This window comes from Homo sapiens, chromosome 9 (genome assembly GCF_000001405.40).
Source record: "Homo sapiens chromosome 9, GRCh38.p14 Primary Assembly".
In the NCBI taxonomy this organism is placed as follows: Eukaryota; Metazoa; Chordata; class Mammalia; order Primates; family Hominidae; genus Homo; species Homo sapiens.
Window position 1 is genome coordinate 27,433,351 of NC_000009.12, and position 22,411 is coordinate 27,455,761.

Genomic DNA, 22,411 nt, shown 5'->3' on the forward strand with positions numbered 1-22,411 from the left:
GCTTCACCCATCTTAAGCAGTAAGATGATTTTAAACTGAGAAGCAGCCATGAATTAAGCCACATAGAGGTGAAACTGCTGTCAGATGTTTAGTAGATTTGAGGGTGCAAACTTAATCATTTACTGTCACAGAAATCAGAAATGCAAAAAAATCTTTGAGATAAACCAACCTCATGCCTTCTACCTTAAAAAGAGAATTCTCTGCCTTCTTCATGGGGCCAAGGATATCAAATGAGCCTACAAAGCTCCATCTCCACCCTCCAGTTAATCAAATCTGAAAAAATTCCTGGAAGAGAAGCAGCGAAGGGAGGTTGCACTGTGAATTGTCAAGGCCTTTAGAATTCCTGTGATTTATAGATGAGAATGAAGCCTTTCCATGCATATTGAAGGTGCATGGGATTCTTAATTTATGGCTTAGGAGTTGCAGGCTACAGTAATAAACCTGCTAAACTACTGAATCACTGCCAAGAGTGACCTTTACAGAGCCTGCAGAGGTCAAGCAGCCTTCTCCTTGCGAGTCAAAGAATTCTTGGCTAAATCAAAGCTCTTTTGGTTTAAGAAAAGAGAAAACCACTTGAGCCAACAGAAGCAAACATAAGCAATTTGATAAAAGGAAACAAGAGCAGGAGGTGGAGCCCAGCATCATGAGGGAATGGAAATAGAACTAAAAAATCCAGACTCAGGGTATTTGCTCACCTCTGTGAAGATGCATGGTAGCCTCATGTCTTCTTACTACTTCTGCAGACTGACATTCCTGGCTTTGTAATTTGGAATCAGAGATGTTGATTAGATACTGATGTAGATTAGAATACCCCTCGGAGGACAAATGCTGCCTTACAAGTGTTTTTGCTCATCTGGGCTGTCTGCTGACCCTCTTGTGTTGACCTACAATATACTTGTCTTTCCTGCCCTTGTCTTACTTAATCTTTCAACCCCCTCCTCTTGGCAGCATCTCTTTCCTCTGCTCATGAATACCAGTCTCCACTGTGTTTTCTCTTAACTCTCTGACTTCTCCTCAAACTCCTTTACCAACAATTCCCCTTTCTCCACCCACCATTAAATGTGGTGTGCCTCAAAGCTCTGTCCTAGGCCTTTTCTTTCTATGCTTTAACCCACAAGTGCTCTTAGCCACACCCATGACTTCAGCTGCCATTTATACGGCCCAGCCAAGACCTTTTTTTCTGAATCCCAGGCCTATATATCCACCTGCTTGGTCCATATACCTACTTGAATATCTCAGAGGCACCTCAAACCCAACTCATCCAAACTTCCCACCCTCAAGAACTCCTCCTCCAAGATTCTCAATCTCAGTAAATGGCTCTACTCCCCTGCTCAAGCCGGAAATTTAGGGCTTACCTTTACTCCTCCTGCTCCCTGCTCTACCCCTCACACATTTCCTCAGCTTGTCCTCCTAAACCTCTCCAATCAACCCAACTCTTTCCACACTTGAGTTGAGGCTCTCATCATCTCTTATCTGGGCCACTGCAAAGGGCTCTCAGTTGGTGCTGGGGCTCAGGAAAAACCACCCCAAAACATGACTGTAGGAGAACATAATACACCACTCTAAAATATGTCTCTTGGCATGTTGACTATTTCAAACTGATTATTTTGAAAAACTGTAGACACAGGCAGAGCTCTGAAAAGTCACTCTTGTAAGAGAAATGTACATCTAAAGGAAAATACCATTTGTAAGGTGTTTCTCTCTCTCTCTCTCTCTCTCTCTCTCTCTCTCTCTTTCTCTCCCCACCAGGGAGAAAGGGATGGTTAAATGAGGAGGGAGGGAAGGCCTAGACTAAAATCTGCATAATCTTACCCTTGTTTTCTCTTTTCCTGGCCATTTTCCCATAACCAGAGTTTCCCCACACTCCTTTTTTAATTTGTTTCAGCAAACTATGGCACAAACCTGAGGTTTAAACTATTTTTCTTTGAGCTCTGCTGGAGAAATGTATTCATTTCTCTGGGGTTTTCCCCATGTGTACATAAAGTATACATGTTTATAAACTTCTTTTGTTTTCTTTTGTGTGTGTATGTGTGTGTTTTCTCAGGAAGTTCCATTTAAGAGCTATGAAAGGTAGAGTAGAGAGAAAAATTATTTTTTCTCCATGACACTGGGCATCCATCCTTGCCCCTCCCCAGTCTGTGGCCAGAGCAATTCTTTTAACATTCAAGTCTTAACATGTCACTCATCTGCCTTCAGAGGCTTCCTATAACCCTAGAATAAAGAACAGAGTTCTTTTATTTATTTGTTTGTTTATTTATTTATTTTTGAGAAGGAGTTTCACTCTTATCTCCCAGGCTGGAGTGCAGTGGCGCTATCTCTACTCACTGCCACCTCCACCTCCTGAGTTCAAGTGATTCTTCTGCCTCAGCCTCCCCAGTAGCTGAAATTACAGGCACCCACTACCGTGCCCAGCTAATTTTTGTATTTTTTAGTAGAGACAGGGTTTCACCATGTTGGCCAGGCTGGTCTTGAACTCCTGACCTCAAGTGATCCACCTGACTTGGCCTCCCAAAGTGCTGGGATTAAAGGTGTGAGCCACCATACCCAGCCAAGACCAGAGTTCTTTCTAAGACTTCCAAGGCCCTGCTCCCTCTGTGACTTCCTCACATGTCACTCCAGCCTCACTCATTGCACAGTACTCACACTTTCCTTCTTTTAGTCCTTCAGGGATGCCTCAGTTTTCTCACGTCAGGACCTTTGTAGCTGTTGTTCTACCCCGCTACCCAGACCCCGTACCACCATCCTATCCTTTCTACCTTGCTGAGTCCCATTTACCCTTCTGGTCTCACCTAAAGTATCATTTCTAAGGGGCTCCTATTAGAGACTTTGTGTATGTTTGGTAATATTTGTATGTGAGCTTGTACTTTGTATATTGGCACACTGCATTTTCCTCTGTTAAACTTTTCACACTTGTAATTATTTCTTTCACTTGTTCATTCATCAACTTATACAAAGCACTTTCATGTGCCTGGCACTATCTAGGCACTGGGTTGCAACACTGAGTGGAAGAGATTCCTACACTCATGGAGCTTCCATCCTCTGTAGGTCTTACTCTACTATTTGCTTTTAAGTTCATGAGGACAAGGTCATGCACGTTTTGTTTCCCACTGTGTTCCAGTGTTTCGCACATTAGCTCACTGTCTGGCATGTGTGAAACAGTCAACAAATATTTGCTGACTGTCTGATTGGCCTCCCGAAGTTACTACTGTACTGTTGGGTACATAGTAAGTAAATACAAGTTGAATTAGACAACTGCTTGCAGGCAATTGTGTCCACAGAAAATGGCAATGCTTCAGACTTGTTATGATGATTTGCATTTTATTTGACTTTTTAGTAAGGAATTATTGATCTTCTTATCTCTGTTATGATTAATATAAATGAATAAATATACATGACAAACAACTTCAGAGTGAAAATAATATTAAGGAAATTAGGCGGGTTATCTAATAGAAACAGAAGGGATCTAGGTCACATTATATTGGATGGTTAGAGGAGTCCTCCCAAAGGAAGGAGAAATTTGAGCGGGGATCTGAATATGAAGAAAGAGCAGCCAGCTATGCAAAAATCCAGGGCCAAGCTTTCCAGACACAAGGAACAGAACGCGCAAAGGCTCGGGGAAAGGGAGTAGGGGGAAGAGCTGGGAGTGGGGGGAAGACCTGGGGGTGGGGGGAGTGTGTTTTGAGAAGCATAAAAAAGCCTAGGGTGGCTGAAGTCCAGCAGGCAAGGGGAAATCCTGAAAGAGGAGATGGCAAAAGTAGCCAGGGGCCTCCTCACAAAGGGTCCAGTAGGCCAAGGTAAGGATTTAAGATTTTATTCTGGTTGTAGTGGGAAGATACTGCACTTTAGAAAGTAGATAGTTAATATGATCTATGTTTTTTAAGAAAATAAATTATTTGCTCTGTGGGAAATGGGCTACAGTTGTGCCCTTCTTGGCATTAAGACCTCTTAGAATCTCAGAGACCACTAGAGGAAAAAGTAAAATAGTTCTAATGTTCTAAACTCTGACCTATTTGGGACTATTATATAATTATAAAGGTATTCATTGAATTTCGTCCTTTTTGGTAATTTTCAAGTCCTACTAATGACAACTTTCCTATCTTTATTGGACATTGTGCTAATCAAGGGGCCATAGCTCTGTTAGCACATTTATTTATTTATAAGCAATCCATTTATTACTGGTCATTGATGAATATGACGAATATAATCTAGCTGATGGACATTAAAAAAATCCAAAAAGGGAACAGCTGATAAATGTCTCCCTTCAACTGCTACAAAGTGTGCAACACTGTCACCAGAGCCCTCCTTTTGAAACTCACTGATGCATTTTACATTTGTCAAATTCATTATTTATGAGCAGTGAGCTATACAATAGAAGCGAGAGTCATCCACAGGGACACATCTGCCTGCCTTATATTTGACAGGGCTTATCTCCAAGGGAAGAGGGCTTCAGTTTTTTATCATGTCAGTTAAAAAATGTACTGATGTGTTTTTAGGCTGGAAACTTCTTCTTAAAGCATGAGATAATGACTTTGCTAAATCCTATTCAAAACAAAGACACACCCAAAAGCTATGAAAGCATAGAAACCACATTGCTATTTCTCAAATGAAGGAGAAAGACTGCTGGACTAGATGAAAAGGGGCCTCTTGTTAAGGCTTCCCATGCAAATATGCCAGGATGCATTTTTCCTTCTCATATTTACTAACACCACGAAGACATTGTGGTACGAACCAGTTTACCTTTTAGAAGCTGGATTCACAGATGGCAGTAACAGTAACTATAAATAGCCAAGAGCACTGAGAAATCTTTTAAGGAAGGTCATCGTCACCCTACCGTATACTACTGCTTCAGCATGGGCAAAGGAGCAGAGAGTTAACCTTAGAGAAAGCTCTAACAGTAAATTCAGGGCACTAGCAGCTGGAAGGTAACTGGATTCAAAGCCCTGTTCCTACCCAGGTCTGGGAGCTCTTACTTGCTCCTTGTTGAAATTACCGTGCCCAGTCTGAGATTGTGACAGGCTTCAGAACTGCTACTGCTGAATTGGTGGTAGGAGGTCCCCTTCAGCTGAAGGAGGCTCAGGACCCCTGATACAGCCAAGAGGATGAGGCAGGTGCCTGAAGGAGACCTAGCAGATGGGCAAAGTGCTGGGGCAAGAGGACCTTGTAGGTCTATTTATTGGGTAATTTTAACAGTTCACTTTGATAATGTCTCCTTGCCAGTTTGTTATAAAGGCTACAATACTTCATGTGAAAAACCTGAGCTCCAGTTTTGGTCATATTTGTTAAAGGACATTCCTCAAAGGGCAGCTGCTGGATAGCACCGTTGGGAGGACAAGGAGCTGCAAGAGATGAAACGTACACTTGCGGCGCCTGAAATAACATGAAGTCCAATCAGCCCCGTGAGTCGCTGTAGACTGATAAGGGCAGCCAGATTCCACAGCCATTTAAAGAGTCAACATGTTTTAGGGCTAAAAAACTTCATGGGCCCCAAAGTGTCAACTCCTTGAGGGGTGACTGAGAAACCATGGCCGAAAAGTCCACCTCAGCAGCAAGTCCAGGAACCTACCACTGACCTTACCTGTTGAAAGAGACTTAGGGCCTCTGGGGTCTTTACTTCTGGGAGCCTCAACGGTTTATTGATATGTGTAGCTTCTACTATGGGAGAAAAACACAACAGCTCCTTTGCAGAAATATGGTACTTACAATATTATTAGCAATAATATTAGTGAATATTTATTGAACATTTTCTACACGCAAAGTCCCATGCATTATCCTATTAAGACCTTACAGCAACCTGAAGACCTAGGTTTCCTGAGGTTACAGGGGAGGAAACAAGGTTAACAGACTGAGGAGTAAAGAGGAAAGGCAAACAGAATCTACCTTTATATACTGGACTGGAAATTAAATGTTACAGACATTGAATTATATTGGTCTGCTCATTTCTTAATTGTGAAACTACAAGGCTAGTTGTCATACTCTAATAATCATTTATTTTTTTCCTCCTTCTCTTCCTAGCCGGTGAGACTTTTATCTTTAAAAGACATACCATACATACATACACACATACATATACACACTCAACATTCACCATAAACACAAATTATTGAACCATCTCATCTGTCTTACCTTATTATGGGAGGTTTTTACCATTGGCACAAATCTTTTTAGTTTCAGCAGACCATGAGTCAAATTCCAAGTATTCAAGACACAATGAGAAAGTAGCAAAGCCATGACTTGAAATCTCTTTATTTCATCCATGCAGGATTTCTTCTGCAGGGACCTCATGCTTTGGTGTCACAGAGAAGCAAAACCTTTTGCTTCTTCAAATTATCCTTTTACTTTTTCCCCCTCTCATGCTGTCTTTGAATATATTCATGTTTGTGTTTTATGCAAAGGTATGCATATATGTGCCCAGAATACTCCTATCACAGATGTCTCTGGCATAGCAAAAAAAATGGAATGGAGCCAGAAAGACCTACTATGGACCTTTATAAGCTGTGACCTGTGCAACATTTGTAACCTCTCCGAGGCTCAGTTCCCTCATTGGGAAAACAGGCAAAAGGCTGTTTTGCCTGTCATGCTTTGGGGGTGGGCCCGGTGGTGGGGGGTAAGGCTGTTGTGAGAGGTAAGGTAGCAATGTAAAGCACCTAGTTAACCTACAGTGGAGAGAAAATGGTAGACATCATTATTACAGTAACTGTCTAAAACAAAATCTAGATATGACAAAACCTGGTTAGCAAGGCAGGTGTAAGATTGGTCTCACCCTAGCAGTAAAACACATTTCATGTAGCATAAGATGTTCTATAAATCCCATTCAGAAATGAGTCTGTCCACAGTGGGCAATACATATCTGCCCATCTGCAGGTTGAAGCAATGTGGCCATGTCTCTTTAATGCTGACTGATGTTCAACTACATCACAGTGCCCTTGTCATGGGGCTCAGTTAATGCTGAATTCAATTATCTATGTAGATGGAAAGAGCAGAGTCATAGATAATAATTCTGAGAACAAATACTTTCTAAATGATTCCTTCTTTTTTTTTTTTTTCCATAATAGCTACCTTACTGTATTACTTGGGTCTTGGCTGATGTTTGGTACTCTATAAGAATACGTATCAATGGATGATGGGAAGAAATTCATGACTACTCTGACCTGGATATTATAGAAAGCTCTCCTGAGCCTGAATATTTGTTGCATAAAATTTGCAAGGTGAATAACTGGTGGTGGTCCACCACTCTCTAATGTATGGCACAATAATTATAAAATATTCATTCAATTTTAAGATATTTTCTGTGTGTGTATCAAGTCCCACCAGTTACGCATCTAGTCTGAATTAGCTCATTAGGTTAGGGTGAACATAGTGCTAAGGAAATCAGAAGATTCATTTTTTTTTTAAAGATCAATTAGCATCTTTCCTTTGGTGCTCCCAAAAACTCTGTGATAAGGAGACCACATAACTGTGAATACTGATGTGAAATGCCATCAGTACTGGTGGGTAAATACCATAAAGCAGCGGTCCTCAACCTTTTTGGCACCAAGGATCAGTTTTGTGGAAGACAATTTTTCCACAGCAGGGTTAGGGTTGGTTTCAGGATGAAACTGTTCCACCTCAGATCGTCAGGCATTAGTTAGAGTCTCATAAGGAGTGAGCAATCTAGATCCCTCACATGTGCAGTTCACAATAGGGTCCGTGCTCCCATGAGAATCTAACACCGCCACTGACCTGACAGGAGGCTGAGATCAAGCAGTAATTCTCCATTACTGGCCACTCACCTCCTGCTGTGCGGCCTGATTCATGACTTCCACCAACAAATGTAATGTCTTTTCTACCGTAACTAAGCACTTACCATGCACTGTGGCCATAACTTTTGCAGTTTGAGAGGCAACAAGAAAATTAGCATAAATTTCTTTTTACTTCACAATTTCACAGGCAGAAGATTCATACCATAGATCTGAGCAACCTTAGCCTACAATTTTTTTCTTTCCTTAAGTCCTTATGTTCACCTTTTCACTTAAAGGAAGCACTTTATGGCTTCTCTTTGGCATATCTGAATTGCTGGCATCACTACTCTTGCACTTTGGAGCCATCATTAAGGAAAATAAGGGTTCCTTGAACACAAGCTCTGTGATACTGCAAAGGTTAACTGATAACCCAGATATCTACTAAATGAGCAATGGGCAGGTAGAGTCTACAGTGTGGGTATGCTGGACAAAGGGAAGGTTCTTGTCCCAGGTAGGACAGAGCAAGATTTCATCATGCTACTCAGAACAGTGTGCAATTTAAAACTTATGAATCATTTATTTCTGGAATTTTCCATTTAATATTTTCAGACCACAGTTGACCACAGGTGACTGAAACAGAGGAAATCAGAACCATAGATAAAGGGGGACTACTATATTGTGAAATTCGTAATGCAATTGTCGCTTGTCTTGTTTCAACCAACATAGTCTAGTGCCTACTAGGTACAAAGGACTCCCTCCCCACCCCAGCAGTGTTCTCAGTGTTGTATGGATCCCTAAGGACCCTTTCAAAGGTACACAAAATCCTCCCCTTTCCAACCACATACTCATGTCAGCCCTGACATGAATCAAAACAATAAACCACAATAGACTGAAAATGCAGAAGCGGATATGAGTCCAGTTGCCTTCTGTTAAACCAGACGTTAAAGAGATTTGTGAAGAGTAAAACAATATTACTCTCTTTACTCAAAAATTTTTTTGTTTTGGGAAATGTAGTTATTTTTCATAAAAAAAGTTATTTTGTTAGCATGTAATGGGCTTATTACTTTCTCAATTAATAAATATTTTTAAATTTTCCTAGTTTTAATTTCTAATATTGTTAGCTGTTGCTAGATATGACCCACATACACAAAAGATCAGGATTTTCAGTAATTTTTAAGAATATGAAGGGGTTCTGAAACCACAGAAAATTTGAGGAGCACTGACTGTTGTTCATCTGTCTTATTTAAATCTTACAGCATCCTAATTCCGTTTTCCTACTTTAATTGTCTTCATAGAACTTATCCTTATCTGACATTATGTCATATATTTATTTGCGTTTTATCTGTTTTCTCCATAAGCCAGTTATTTGCCTACTTGCTCTCAGATCCGTTCTCTATCTTTCCTCAGCAAAACGTGTTTCCCAGGCTCCTTTGCCAAAGACAGTGGGAAGCATTGGCAGGAGACTGGAGGAGGGAAGCAGACAGCCAGGTATTTCTACCTCCCACCCTGCCCTTTCGGGTCAGGCAGTACTGCTATTCACCTTGGCTCCAAGGGACCTCCCCTCTTTGCCCCTGGCTCCTGAGCCCTGGTAACACCCTCTCTGACTTCCCTCATGCAAGCCTAAGGTGGCAGTGGCTTCCGGCTCTTGTTATAATATTATATTGTTGCTTTGCCAGCCCAGTTTGACTTTGAGCTCTCTCAGCACTTTTGTGCTAGTTCTCCACGTTAGCTCCTTTCATTGCACCATCTGGCATGGGGCCTGTTTTCCTGACTGAAATGTAAGTTCCATGAGGTCTGGGCCTGTCTCATCTGCTACCATAACCACAATGTCTCAAGTAAATAATTTTTTCAAAGTAACAGCCCTGTGGGATAAGTGTTAGTATCATTATTTTATATATCTGAAAAATAAGGCTCAGGCAGAATTTGCTCGCCCCAGACAAGTGGGTCTCAAACTCTAGCTTGAATCAGAATTACCTACAGAGCTTTAAAACACAGATTTCTGGGCCACTTCCAGAATTTTTGATTCACTAAATATAGGGTGAAGCCTATAACTGCATTTCTAATAAGTTCCCAAGGGATCCTGATGCTGCTGGTCTAGGACCCACTTTGAGAACTACTGCCCTGCGTGACACAACTGAAAAGCAGCAGGGCCAGTCCTTATGTCTAGTCTTCCCACTGCATCTTGAAGCTTAAGGGTATTTGACACCAAGCTCAACAGTCAGGAACGTGCCACCAAATATACATCAACTCTCCCAATAGCTCACTCTGGGACTGTAGTCCAGATCTCTATTACATTATTCATCCTGTACTCTATTATTTGTAGTCTATACCACACTGAAAGTAACAAGTTTTTAAGTTTCCAAACATACATAAACGATTTCTTCCTTTCTTTTACTGGTCTATCACTGAACCTTCTCAAACTGCGAAAGGTATTCTTAAATATCAGGATTTAGTTGGGGAAAATACCCAACCATATTTGCCATCTTCCCTTTATGATTTTACAGCTTTTCACTTTTTCCCTCTTCCTGAAGAATTCAAGTTAGTCCAATCAGGAACCCCTACTTTTCAATTTCTTAATCATCTTAGAGACCATACCCTGGACCGTCTTCTATTCTCATACACCCACCTTGAGTTGCCCCAAGGGCTGGGCACTCTGATTTCAAGACTCACCATCAGGGTTTTGATAAGAAGGTAACATTTTGGTTTGGTTTTAGCATACTTCCTGATCATGCCCCAATAGCTTTATTAGCCCTGGTAGTTGTTAGACTTCAGAAAACCAATGTACACATGACTGGCCTTCTCCTTGGGCTGTCAATAATTATCCTTTCAGAACAGTGAAGAGCATGAATGGCATATGTATGATACACATTCTTTAGTCTTGCACCTATGCAGATATCATAATCAACCACAGCATGTTCTCTCTGAGCCCCATCTAAGAACATTATATGGCATAATATTTCAAGAGCACAAGGCCATGGCAGATGTTCTGCACCTCCTGTGACATTCCAGTAAATGGAAACCTCTGCCTTTGCAACCCCTGTCCTCTGGGAAAAGAAAGAAAGAGAGAGAGAGAAAGAAGAAGGAAAGAAGGAAGGAAGGAAGGAAAGAAGGAAGGAAAGAAAGAAAGAAAGAAAAAGAAAGAAAGAAAGAAAAAGAAAGGAGGGAGGGAGGGAAGGAAGGAAGGAAGGAAGGAAGGAAGGAGGGAGGGAGGGAGGGAGGGAAGGAAGGAAGGAAGAAAGGAAGGAAGAAAGGAAGGAAGGAAGGAAAAGATAAAATACCCCACATCAACCTGCTTTCTTCCACCTCTTCAGATGTCATTTGTAAATGGAGCTCGGGTATTAGAAGGGAAGGCAGTAAATTTTTTCAAGTTAATCATAAAGATATCTTCACAAGTACATCTGTACTTTAAATAGGTACATATATGAAAAAGTGGGCCTAAATTTTTCTACTTGAAAAGAAATACTTTATCCCAATTTAATCTTTATCATTTCCAGAAAACAGGGAATTATAGACACTACTTTCATCTTGTTTTTAAGTTATTATGTTTTTAGAGAGAGGAAAGGTTATAATTTCATCAAATGCAGCTTAAAAAACTCTGTAGCTTTGTAGTTAGGCAAGTCTGGATTCTAAACCTGGATCAACCACTTACTAGGAGGGTGACTTTGAAAGAAGAAATTTATCTCAGTTTCCTCATTTGAAAATAGGGATAATAATAATGATGGTTAACCAGGACTGCTGTGAGGATTAGAAAAAATATAATAAAAGACCTAGCATATTGCTTGGCCCAGAATAAGTAATAAATGCTAGTTAATATAATTATTACTGTATTTTAAGCTTTGGAATTACCACCTTATTTTAAAAGTGGAATGTATCACTCTTAGTTGGTATTCAAATTTTGATCAACTGATATTCTAATGGATGTAAAAAATTATTTCTTTTCTGAGATCACTGGAACTGTGACATGATCAATAGCGTCTCTCCATTTTTTCTTCAGCTGGTAAATAAATGTGCAAAGGTACTGAAGGCAAAATTCTCCTATGTAATCAAGCAGTAAAAGCTGTAATAAATCAGAGGTTTTTCCTTTTTATATCACTTTGAAAAGGGAAATTATGCTAAAATTTTTTCAGCATTTAATTCTCTACCAGGAACATCCTAAGCACTTTATGTGCATTACGTCACTTAATTCTGATAACCTTACAAAGCAGGTATTATTATTTTTCCCACGTCACCTTCTAGATGGGGAGGTAGTCTCAGAGAAGTTCAGGGTTTGCCAAGCTTACATAGGGAGAGCTTACGTAAGGAGAGGAGCAGATTTAAATCAGAACTGAAGATGAGCTCTGGGACTTTACACTATTTCTGGAAAACAGAAAAAAGCCAGCAGCCATCCCATGTGCCTTGACAGCTACTGCCCACAGGTAGTTTCTAGCGACTCTGGTACCTCGTTGACACATTTGCTCACATTTCTCTTCAAAAACATGGGAAGACAAATGCCCCTGGCTGCAGGCTTTTTCTTTTCCACTTTGAGATGCCAAATATGGATGGCTTATCTGAGGGCCATAATAGGTAAGTCCGCAATATTTAGCAACTTCTTTTCTTCCTGTTAACTGTAGTAGAATTCCCAGGCTGGGTCAAGCAATCAAGGAGGTATTGAAGAGAGTGATCCACAAGTAATTCTCAGTGGTCCCCAGACACTGAGGCCCCACTGTGCTGTCACATCAGGCATTAGGGTAATCTTCAGCTGCACCAGAGACTAAGCAGGAGCCTCCCATTGCCGGCGGATTGTCAAGGGATATGATCCAGGGGGTGGGCAACACAATGAACACCTGACTCTTGGCTGCAGCTTCTCCCTTAATTCTTCGCTGCTCTCCAGTCCTGACGACCTGGGCTGGATGATGTAGAAACATCAAAAGCCTATTGCTGCTTTTGAATAATGGTTATTTCTTTTCCTGAGAAAGAACTAACAACTCTGGCTCCAGTCTCTGTGACGACGAATGTTTTAATCACAAAAGGCCTGAACTAAGGTTCAGTTAGACACATCACTAAGGAGATATTCACATAATAAAAGGCCTCTTCGCCAAGTTTTGTTTAAATATTGAACTCTCAGAGAAATGAAGATGTTAGCCAAGTGACAAAAAATTCAACTGCCTCCCAATTTTTGGGAATACATCTTTTTTTTTAATATGAACTATGTGGCATCCTTCAATTCATTTACACTTGCACTACAGTAGTAGTTCACCACGTGTCTACTTTATACCGAATGTTATGCTGGGTGCTGCATCCTGCAGCAGAAAGAAGATGGAACTGGCTTTGTGCAGGCCACTTGTGCTATGCCTGTGAAATGCCTTCTAAAGTTCTATTAGAGACTCCTTCCTGATTCTAGCTGTCAAGGCCAAGCAACGCCAATCTCATCCCATGAATGTCTACCTTTCCTTTCATTTGTTCCCCAAGCTATAGCAAAAGATGAAGGGAACATGGATGATCAACTCCACAGCCAAATGCTTGAGATAATTATGGACTTTTGATCCTTAGTTCTTTCTAACCTTGATTTACCTGATGAGTCTATTGTATCACACTGAGGCTGTGATACTGAGGGAACTAACGTTTAAAGCTTACTGCTCTATGTCCTAGCATTGTGTCAGGGGCTTCACACGTAGCATGTTATTTTATATTCTTAACAATTCCATGAAGCAGGTACCTGTATATGCATTTTACAGATGAGAAGACAGGCTCAGAGAGACTAAAATTATGCTAGTAAAATCATCATCAGAATTCAAACTCAGGTCTAACAGAAACTAACACTTCTGTTCCTTTTAACTACTCCATCCCCTTCCCAAACTAGCTAGTCTTCCTAGAGCATCCCATTTATTAAGGGGAAAATATGATTATGTGAAAGAAAATATGGACAGAATTATTCACTAGAATAGGAAATTAGCATGAATTTTTTTTTTAAGATATAACACCCAAAGGTCCTGTCTGCAGAGACCTTTGCAGATAACACACGTCCTTATGCCTACAAAGGTTCGTTGAAGGAAAAGCTTGTGAATCACTTTCCACACATGGGGGTGTAAGGCAGGCTAATAATTTGGCCTTCTGGCAAAATGACATCATATAAGTATCTGCATACTCTCTATCTAGAGGCAAGGCAGGGCACTGGTGGGGAGGGCAGAAAGAAGCCCTCTGGTGTCAGGGCCCTGCTGATACACCCCTTAAAGCTTGACACTTAGACAGCCTGCCTCTCCAAGCTCTACTGACCTCCACAGTACAGGCTTCGTTGACTAAGGAAGGATGCCATGGCTACAAATGACAAATGACGAATGGAATAAAAGCAGCAGATGCCCCCATCCCCACCCTATTATGGCCTTTGTTTGTAATCTCTGGCTTCCACTGAATATCACATATCCCATTTCCCTTCCCAGCTGGTGCTGAGATGTAACAACTTGTCACCTGAGATACAGCCCATTAAAATTACATAGCACAGGTAATGGAGAATCCAGTGCAGGTCCGGACAGCAGGTAATTAGCTGTAACTTACAGAGCAGTCTTCAGGCCCTCTAAGGGCCTCCTGCCTTTACTCCCCTTCCTTTCTGCTTCTTTGCACACTGGAGGCCCTAAACAGAGGTATCTCTTGGGATTTGTTGAGCAGGGGTGGTTATTTAACACTGTTCTCATTAATTCAGCCACCAAGTCATTGCAGTATTGGGTTCACAAGGTTGTGGTGGGGAACTGTGACCATCATAATAGACCATCAATTCTCCAGCAGCCAGTGGGGTGCAGGGAGTGGATTCAGCTGTCTCTGCATGTTTTCCAAGAATAGACAACTGAATAAACTTGGGTAGCATCAGAATCTACAGGAGGCAAGTTCTTTAAAGGAACAGAATCTTAGAGTTCCTACCAGTAAGGGCCCAGTAGAGTTTGCATCAGGTGCAGGGCCCTGGGTTTTTTCAAGTCCCTCTCTGTGGTGGTTTTGTCTCAAGGCATCCCTTCGAGAGGATTTAACATGTACTGCAACAGGCAGGGCAAGCCAAGAGTGATGTTGACTCTGGGGTAAGAACACCACAGACATGAGATGTTGGAGTCATTGACAGCATGGGCTTTGGAGTTGAGACACCTTGGGTCTGAAACTCAGTTCTGCCTGTGTGACCCTGGCAAGTTACTTAATCCTTTTGAGTCTTAGTTTTCTCATCTGTGAAATGGAAATTATACTACCTGCCTTACAGGGTTATTTTACAGATTAAATGACATAATGCAGGTGTATTAGTCTGTTTTCATTCTGCTGATAAAGACATCCCCGAGTGGGTAACTTATAAAGAAAAAGAGGTTTAATGGACTTACAGTTCCACATGGCTGGGAAGGCCTCACAATCATGGTGGAAAGCAAAAGGCACGTCTTACTTGGCAGCAGACAAGAGAGAATGAGAACCAAGTGAAAGGGGTTTCCCCTTGTAAAACCATCAGATCTTGTGAGACTTATTCACTACCCATGAGAACAGTATGGGGGAAAGTGGCCCCATGATTCAATTATCTCCCACTGGGTCCCTCCCACCATGCGTGGGAATTATGGGAGCTACAATTCAAGATGAGATTTGGGGTGGGACACAGCCAAAACATGTCAGCAGATGAAGTGTTTAAGGTAGCAAGCATTCAGAAAATGGCAGCTTTATTCATATGCCTTCCCAACTGGTAAATTCTTAGGAAGCCAAACAGTTTACTAGATCCCACAGGTGGATTGAATTTCCAGAGTCTTGGAAAAACTTGCCAGTGCATGAGGCTATTATGGGGGCTCTGTTATTGCAGTGAGTACTCTGCAAACACTTTTCCCATCCTCTTGAAGGATCAAATGTAGGTAACCTTGCCCAACGTTATTTTAATGAGTAGCTTATCCCAGATGTGACTAATAGGCTATCTCCCCAATTCTCCTGCTAACCCATTCCTACCCTCTGCTGAGGTTAGCTGGTTTGACACTGGACATGAACAGGTTTAGTATTCAGTCTTCTGGAAATCAAGTGAGAAGACACTTCCTAGTAGATGTCTCTCTAGAGTTAGATGCTCATCTGTGAAGCCAGGAGCCTAAAGAAATACTGGAATTTTCCAAAGGCTCTGAGAGATGTCAACCTGAAGTATTTATAACCCTCATCACAGAGTGATTCAGCAATGAAGACTGATGATTTTTAAAAATCTTGTCAAGTCTTTTAAAGCACATTTTATTTTACTGAGGATACGGTTCAAAAATTGTCTAATAGTCTCCAAGAGTTTTGGTTGGCAGTTAAAAAGAAATGTATACTGAGAGAGAGATAACTAACATGTATTTTTCAGCAACTCTTATGTCTCAGGCTCTGGGATGGGTGTTTTTATTCATACTGCTTCATTTAATCCTTACAACAGTCCTGTGGAGGTCACAGTTATAACCCTTAGTTTACAAACGAATGGAAACTTAGAGATAAAGTCACACAGCAGCTTCTAAGTGACAGAGCTAATTGATTAAGCCCAAGTCTATCTACAAGTCCAGTACTAATTCCAACATACTGTAAATATATTTTGTTGATGCCCATTCTGTCTTGCTAGCGTTACAAAGATTTCTATCAAAATAAAAACCATGTGAGAGACATACAATAGAAAATAAAAACTTGGCTGGGAGATGTCGCTCATTATCTGTAATCCCAGCACTTTGGGAGGCCAAGGCAGGCAGATCACCTGAGATCAGGAGTTCGAGACCAGCCTGGCCAAGATGGCAAAACCCCAACTCTACTAAAAAAATATAAAAATCAACCAGGTGTGGTGGCAGGTGCCTGTGACCCCAGCTACTCAGGGGACTGAGACAGGAGAATCACTTGAACCTGGGAAGCGGAGGCTGCAGTGAGCCGAGATCATGCCATTGCACTCCAGCCTGGGCAACAGAGCGAGACTCTGTCTCAAAAATTAAAAAAAAAAAAAAAAAAACTTAAAATGTAAAGGCCAATCATAAACTCAACTCCCCAACATCCCATGTCTGAGAAGATTATCCCTATGGTTGACTTGTTTTTATATTTTCAGATCCCTTGCCACAGCATGTGAGGGAGGATGAGACTCAGCTGTAGTCTCATCGGAAAGGTTACCAAAGGGATGCAACTATTTCCACAATGCACTTGACCACTGAACAGACTACTTACTTTAGAAATATGTACAGAATCAATTTAGAGCAACTAGACATTCTGGACATTATGTAAACTGCTCAAGAACAGGGGTTCTGCCTGCTTTGTTCTCTCTTGGAACCTAAAATAGGTGCTCAGCAAACACTCATTGAAAGAATAAATTAATAATAAATGGCATTACCAGGGAGTTATGGGCCAGCAGAGGGTTTTCATGAGGCTAAGTAATCTGCTGCCCAGTCTTAGAATGGAATGAAGGAATATTTACAGTACCTGGACACAGTCCTCAGGCATTTCAGAGATGATTAAGAAATAATAATAATCAAAAAAAAGAATCCTTTATCTAAAAGTTCTAGCCAAAAAAACAAAAACAAAAACAAAACAGGTCTTATAAAATTTTCTCCATCCTAAACAACCTCCTAAAACCATTCATTGAAAAGCCTTTACCATGTGAAGGGGAATCTGTGAAATAATAATACATGCTATGAATGGCAGCATAGGACAAAGGCACAGATTTCTGGCCAGACACTCATGAGCTCAGACCCTGACTCCTAAATATGTATTAGCTGTACAACCTAAGGAAAGCCCTTCTTCAGCTTGTTTAAATGTCAGCATCTTCACTGGTAAAATGAGATATTAACTTCATTTTTACTTTATTGGGTTGTAAGAATTAAGAAACATTAACAGTAGCAGGCACAGGGCTTGGTATTTAGCAGGCTCAATAGATGTGAATTCCCTCCCTCAGTTCCCTCCCTTGCTTTCTTTGTTCTTTCCTGCCCTGACACCCACTTATTCTAAAACCCCAGAGGTAAGTGAGATCATGTAATTGTTTTATACATGTTCTTATTCCTTCTTTTCAAAGACTTAAAAAACCCATGAGTTGGAGGACCTCTAAGTTTGCTACTGGCTTTTTTCTATCAGGTCTAAAATATTAAATCCTATTATATAACAGAAAAACAGGGAAGCTGGGGGATGGACCATAAAAATTACTGTAATTAGTCAGGCAATAGAATTTTTTTTTAAGTCATGGCTTTCTATTTTACTGTCTTGGCTGTGATGTCTAAAAATGGTTAAAGAAATATAATTGAAAAGGAGGTGGCCCTTGCTTCAGAATTTACTGCTCTTTCAAGGGCTTTCACAGGGACATCTGTTGGGTTTGTAATAAAAGAAGCCAGAAAAGGTTTCAAGAGAGAGTAAGGGAAACTATGGTTTACAAGGTATCCACATCTGTTTGGTATTCTGCCATCTGAGAAAGTTCGACTTCTGAAATAGCACGGGTCACCTAGTTAAGACTGAATCTAGGAACAGATGAAAGCTTTCTTTCCTCAATGTTTCAATGGTAGAGATCAACAGCTGTTTATATCCTTTAATAGCTAACTAAGGATGAAGCTTTCACATCTGTCAGTATTTTCCGGTTCTATTTCCTTGGATCACAGTGGGGAGGAGATGAAGTTTGAACCCCTCCCAATTCCCAAGCAGAAATATGCCCAGTATTCAAAGCTGTAATTCTAAGCAGAACTCTCCATTTCTCATCCACCCAGGGTCCTGTTTGCTTAGAATTCTTCTTTTGCTTTACCCTGACAGACATCTTGATTATCTCCATGATAATGACTCATGATAGCACAAAGATCAAAAAGAAGAAAAGTAGGCTGGAGTCAGGAGAAGGAAAAAGAGGAGGAAATGGAGTGTAACAGAGAAAGTAGCTCCTAATAATACGTTCTTCCAAAAGACCACAACAGTAGCAACTGAGGGCAAATCACAGAGGTGAGCAGGAGGTTGAAGACTCTCATAGTGAAGGTGGACGGTGATGGTTTTTACTGACCGTAACATCTCACCTTGGAAAAGTTAAACAGAGAAAATGGAACCCTATGGAAGCAAGGTGCAGGAAATATCCAGGAATGAAAACAAAAGGATTCAGAAACATTTGTTTAACTTTGCTCTGATCACCAGAATCATCCATGTGCTGGGCCTTTATAAAGATTATTTTTCCATCCAAACATCCATCCACCCACCCGTCCATCCATCCATCCATCCATCCATCCAATAACTTGAAAGTTACCAGGACTAGAGTTAGTGGGTGATAGTCAGATGAATTAGACATATTGCATAATTTAAAGAGCTGGTATTCTAATGGATGAAAGCCTTCACAGAGGACATGGTATCTGAGCTGAACCTCAAAGGATACATGAGAATTCACTAGACAGAGAAGTGAGTGATTACAGAAGGAGAGAAAAACATGAATAAAACCAGAGTGGTAAGAAACAAACCACTTCTGGGGGAATGAAAAATTCTGAGTGGTTACAATAAACAGAAGATGCTTATTAAAAGTACAGGTTCATAAAGAACTCAAATAACTCAATTGAAAGAAAATACATAATTTAAAAATGGGCAAAGGATCTGACATATTTCTCAAAAGAAGTCATACAAATGGCTAACAGGTATATGAATGAATAAAGAAAATGTGGTATATATACACAATGGAATACTATTCAGCCTTAAAAAATAAGGAAATCCTGTCATTTGTGACATGAATGAACCTGGAGAACATAGGTTAAGTGAAATATGCCTGGCACAGAATAACAAATACTGCATAGTTTCTCTGATATTTGGAATCTTAAAATGTTGATTGTTGAACTCATAGAAGTAGAGAGTTAGAATGGTGATTACCAGAAGCTGGAGGTATAGAGAGGGCGTTAGGGAGATGTTGGTCAAAAAATACAAAACTTCAGTTAGATAGAAAGCGTAAATTCAAGAGATAAATTATACAATGTGGTGACTACAGTTTTCCTTTCTAAAAAGTGCAGGCTTTTAGGTCTCACCTAAGAGATTCTGATTTAGTTGTTAATGGGGAAGAGAGGTTCAAGGAATTTGCGTTTTGAACAGAAGGCCCAAATAATTCTGATATAAACAAAAGTTTGACAACTGTAATATATACAGCTTAACGTTTTCCAAAAGATGCTAATGGTCTTTCATTAATTTAAAAAAAAAGGTACCAGTGTCAAATAAGGAACCACCACATACTATTCTTTTCTTGGAAATTCATAATGCACATTGGCATATTAAAAGTCCTGTGGTAAAGAAATCAATTTCACTCAGCATTTCCCAAACTTATTTTTCCTTGGGGGAAGAAATCTTTACGATCTCTCAAAATACAAGTATGCAATGGAGGCTAGATGGGGTAGAGCTGAAACAGAGGATTCTGACCAGGTAAGCACGTTCCCTAAGCATACTGAATGACTAAGAAAATGTCTAGAAAAATAAAGCAAAGTCGGTTACCCTGGGGGATATAGAGGCATCCATAGAGGCATCCATTAATTTCTTCCAAGCAAAGCCCAAAACCACCTATGATGTCCTGTTTTCCAGCCAGACAGCCAGAAACTTCCTCTCTCTCAAGTAACACACCATGGCTTTGTACTATGACTTCTGGTCAGTACTCTCTGTGGTAGCCACAGTTGCAGAGAGAACAGGAGTATGCAGAATTCAAAGCATACAGGTGAAGACACAGGGGGAAGGACAAAGAGGAGGTATCCTTGCCTACATTTATTTATCTTTATTGCTATTACATGTTCAGCATAGAGCACTGGCAGTTGCTAGTAAGGCTTCTGGAAAAGAAAAAATCCTTCCAGCTCCAAAAGTAGCCTATGACAGTCAATGAAAAGTGCAAAAGACATGAACCTAAGAAATTTCCACCACTCTGAGGTGCTTAATATTATGCCCAGGGGAGTTTTTGAAACCTGCCTTCTTCCTCCTATGCTGTGAACTGGGGGATTTGCCCTGACATACAACCTACCTCCTTCCTGTTAAGAAGGGGTAGGAGAGAGAGAAGTATGAGGGAACTGGACAAGCCAAAGCAACACCAAGATCCTGACAAACTGGTTTGTGTGCCGAATATTTCAAGATGTACATACTGCGTCAATCAATGTATACATTTTTTTTCTGGTATAAACTTAATTACTTCCATACACGCCCTTCTCAACTTTCCAGGTGCTATGTGGGGACACATCCTACCCCAATCTAGAGGTGATTTCAACAGTGTGTTTCAAATACGTTTTTTGTACTCCAACCATCTCAGGGCTTTTAAATCATACTTTCTAATAGCACAAGTATTTATTCCATCATTCCACAAATATTTCCTGAGTGTCTACAAGGTGGCAGGGCATTATGTTAGGCACTGGAGCTACAACAGTGGACATAGGAGATTGCGGATTCCTATTCAGCCTACGGCATAAAACACTAAATTCTAAATTCAGTCTGAAAGTGCATGGAAAAATCTAATGACCAGCATCATGAAGAAATGTAAGAGGCAGAGAAGACTGACTGGTCCTTCCTTTTGAAGTGTTTTAGCCTGTAGCACAAAGCAAACAAACTAATTTGCATTTCAAGTGTCCCAGTGTATCCAGAAGATACGCAAGGGTTAAAGTAAACAGCACAGCCTGGAATTAACAACCTATGATTAGAAGAGGGAGGAGAATTTCAGGATCTCTTTCTCCTCAGAATTTGAACCCCCAGTTTGTTTGATCCCCAAACAAATCTATGAATTCTCACACTGGAATTTCTTAATCCTCAGATATAAATACCAGTAACTGCATCAGAGTCCATGTAACTTTAGTCAGTTAACCAAAAAATAATAATCTTATCAAGATAAGTGAGTGAGTCTGACATCTAGTCCTAAGAAAGCCAACACAATCACACCTAATATTTCACCAAGTCAGTGTTCCCCAGCATGTGGTATGTGTACCACTGGAGTCCACAAAATAAATGTAAGTGGTCCATAAAGTTTTTTTTTTCATTTCAATGAGGCTCTTATATATCACTCACTACAGGTATGTGAGTGATGGGATTAATGCATGGGTGCTACCTAGCATTCAAAGGCAGTCTGCAAATTTTCATAGTGAAGATTGTGCAGGTGACAAAAAAACTGAGAGCTGGTAATGAACTTACCCACGCATGTTGGAAATATTTCCTCGTTGTTGATCTGAACCTCAATCCAATCCATAAGAAGGTTCATGTACTGGGGAGCTGGCAGCGCTGTTGGCTTCTTATACTTGAGATCATCCTGCCACCGATACTCATATTTGGGGCCCCCTGACATCACAGGACAGGTCCGCTCGGTGCAGAACTCACAGATGGTGCCATAGATGAGGTTGATCCGATTGAAGAAGTCCACCACATGTACTGCCACCCAGTCATTCTGGTCCTCCCCACTGGGCAACTGCACAGCCGCCTTCAGGTCCACACCCGAGTTGAGGGATGCCTGAGCCCGTTTGTGCAGCTCAAACCTCTGTGTGCCAGGTTCAAATTTCCTCTTGGGTCGGAAGGTCTTGTCCTTGTTGAATACCTGCTTCAGGGCTATGGACATGGTCTTCTCTTTCGCTTCCTTTCTTTTGCAGGAAGCGAAAAGGCACCTGGAACTTTTCAGGGAGAGATCACAGCCCAACAGTGTTTTCCACTGCCAGCACTCAGGCCCCAGTCTTACAGCCTGTAGCTTTTAAGCTCTTCTAAACAGCCCCTTCCATCTTCCTCTTGAATGATTTCCAAGGGAACCTCATGTTCTTTCCTAAAGGTAGAAG

At 40.9% G+C, this 22,411-nt stretch overlaps 1 protein-coding gene across 6 annotated transcripts in view; it reads right to left on the reverse strand.

Moving 5' to 3' along the window:
• MOB3B (MOB kinase activator 3B) overlaps positions 1–22,411 on the reverse strand; it is a 204,606-nt gene that overhangs the window by 108,142 nt on the left and 74,053 nt on the right. For all 6 annotated transcript variants that reach the window (NM_024761.5, XM_047423892.1, XM_047423895.1 and 3 more), the window contains one exon: positions 21,783–22,398. In NM_024761.5, coding sequence (NP_079037.3) covers positions 21,783–22,200 — 418 coding nt within the window. In that variant the 5' untranslated portion in view covers positions 22,201–22,398. The remainder of the gene's footprint in view (positions 1–21,782; positions 22,399–22,411) is intronic.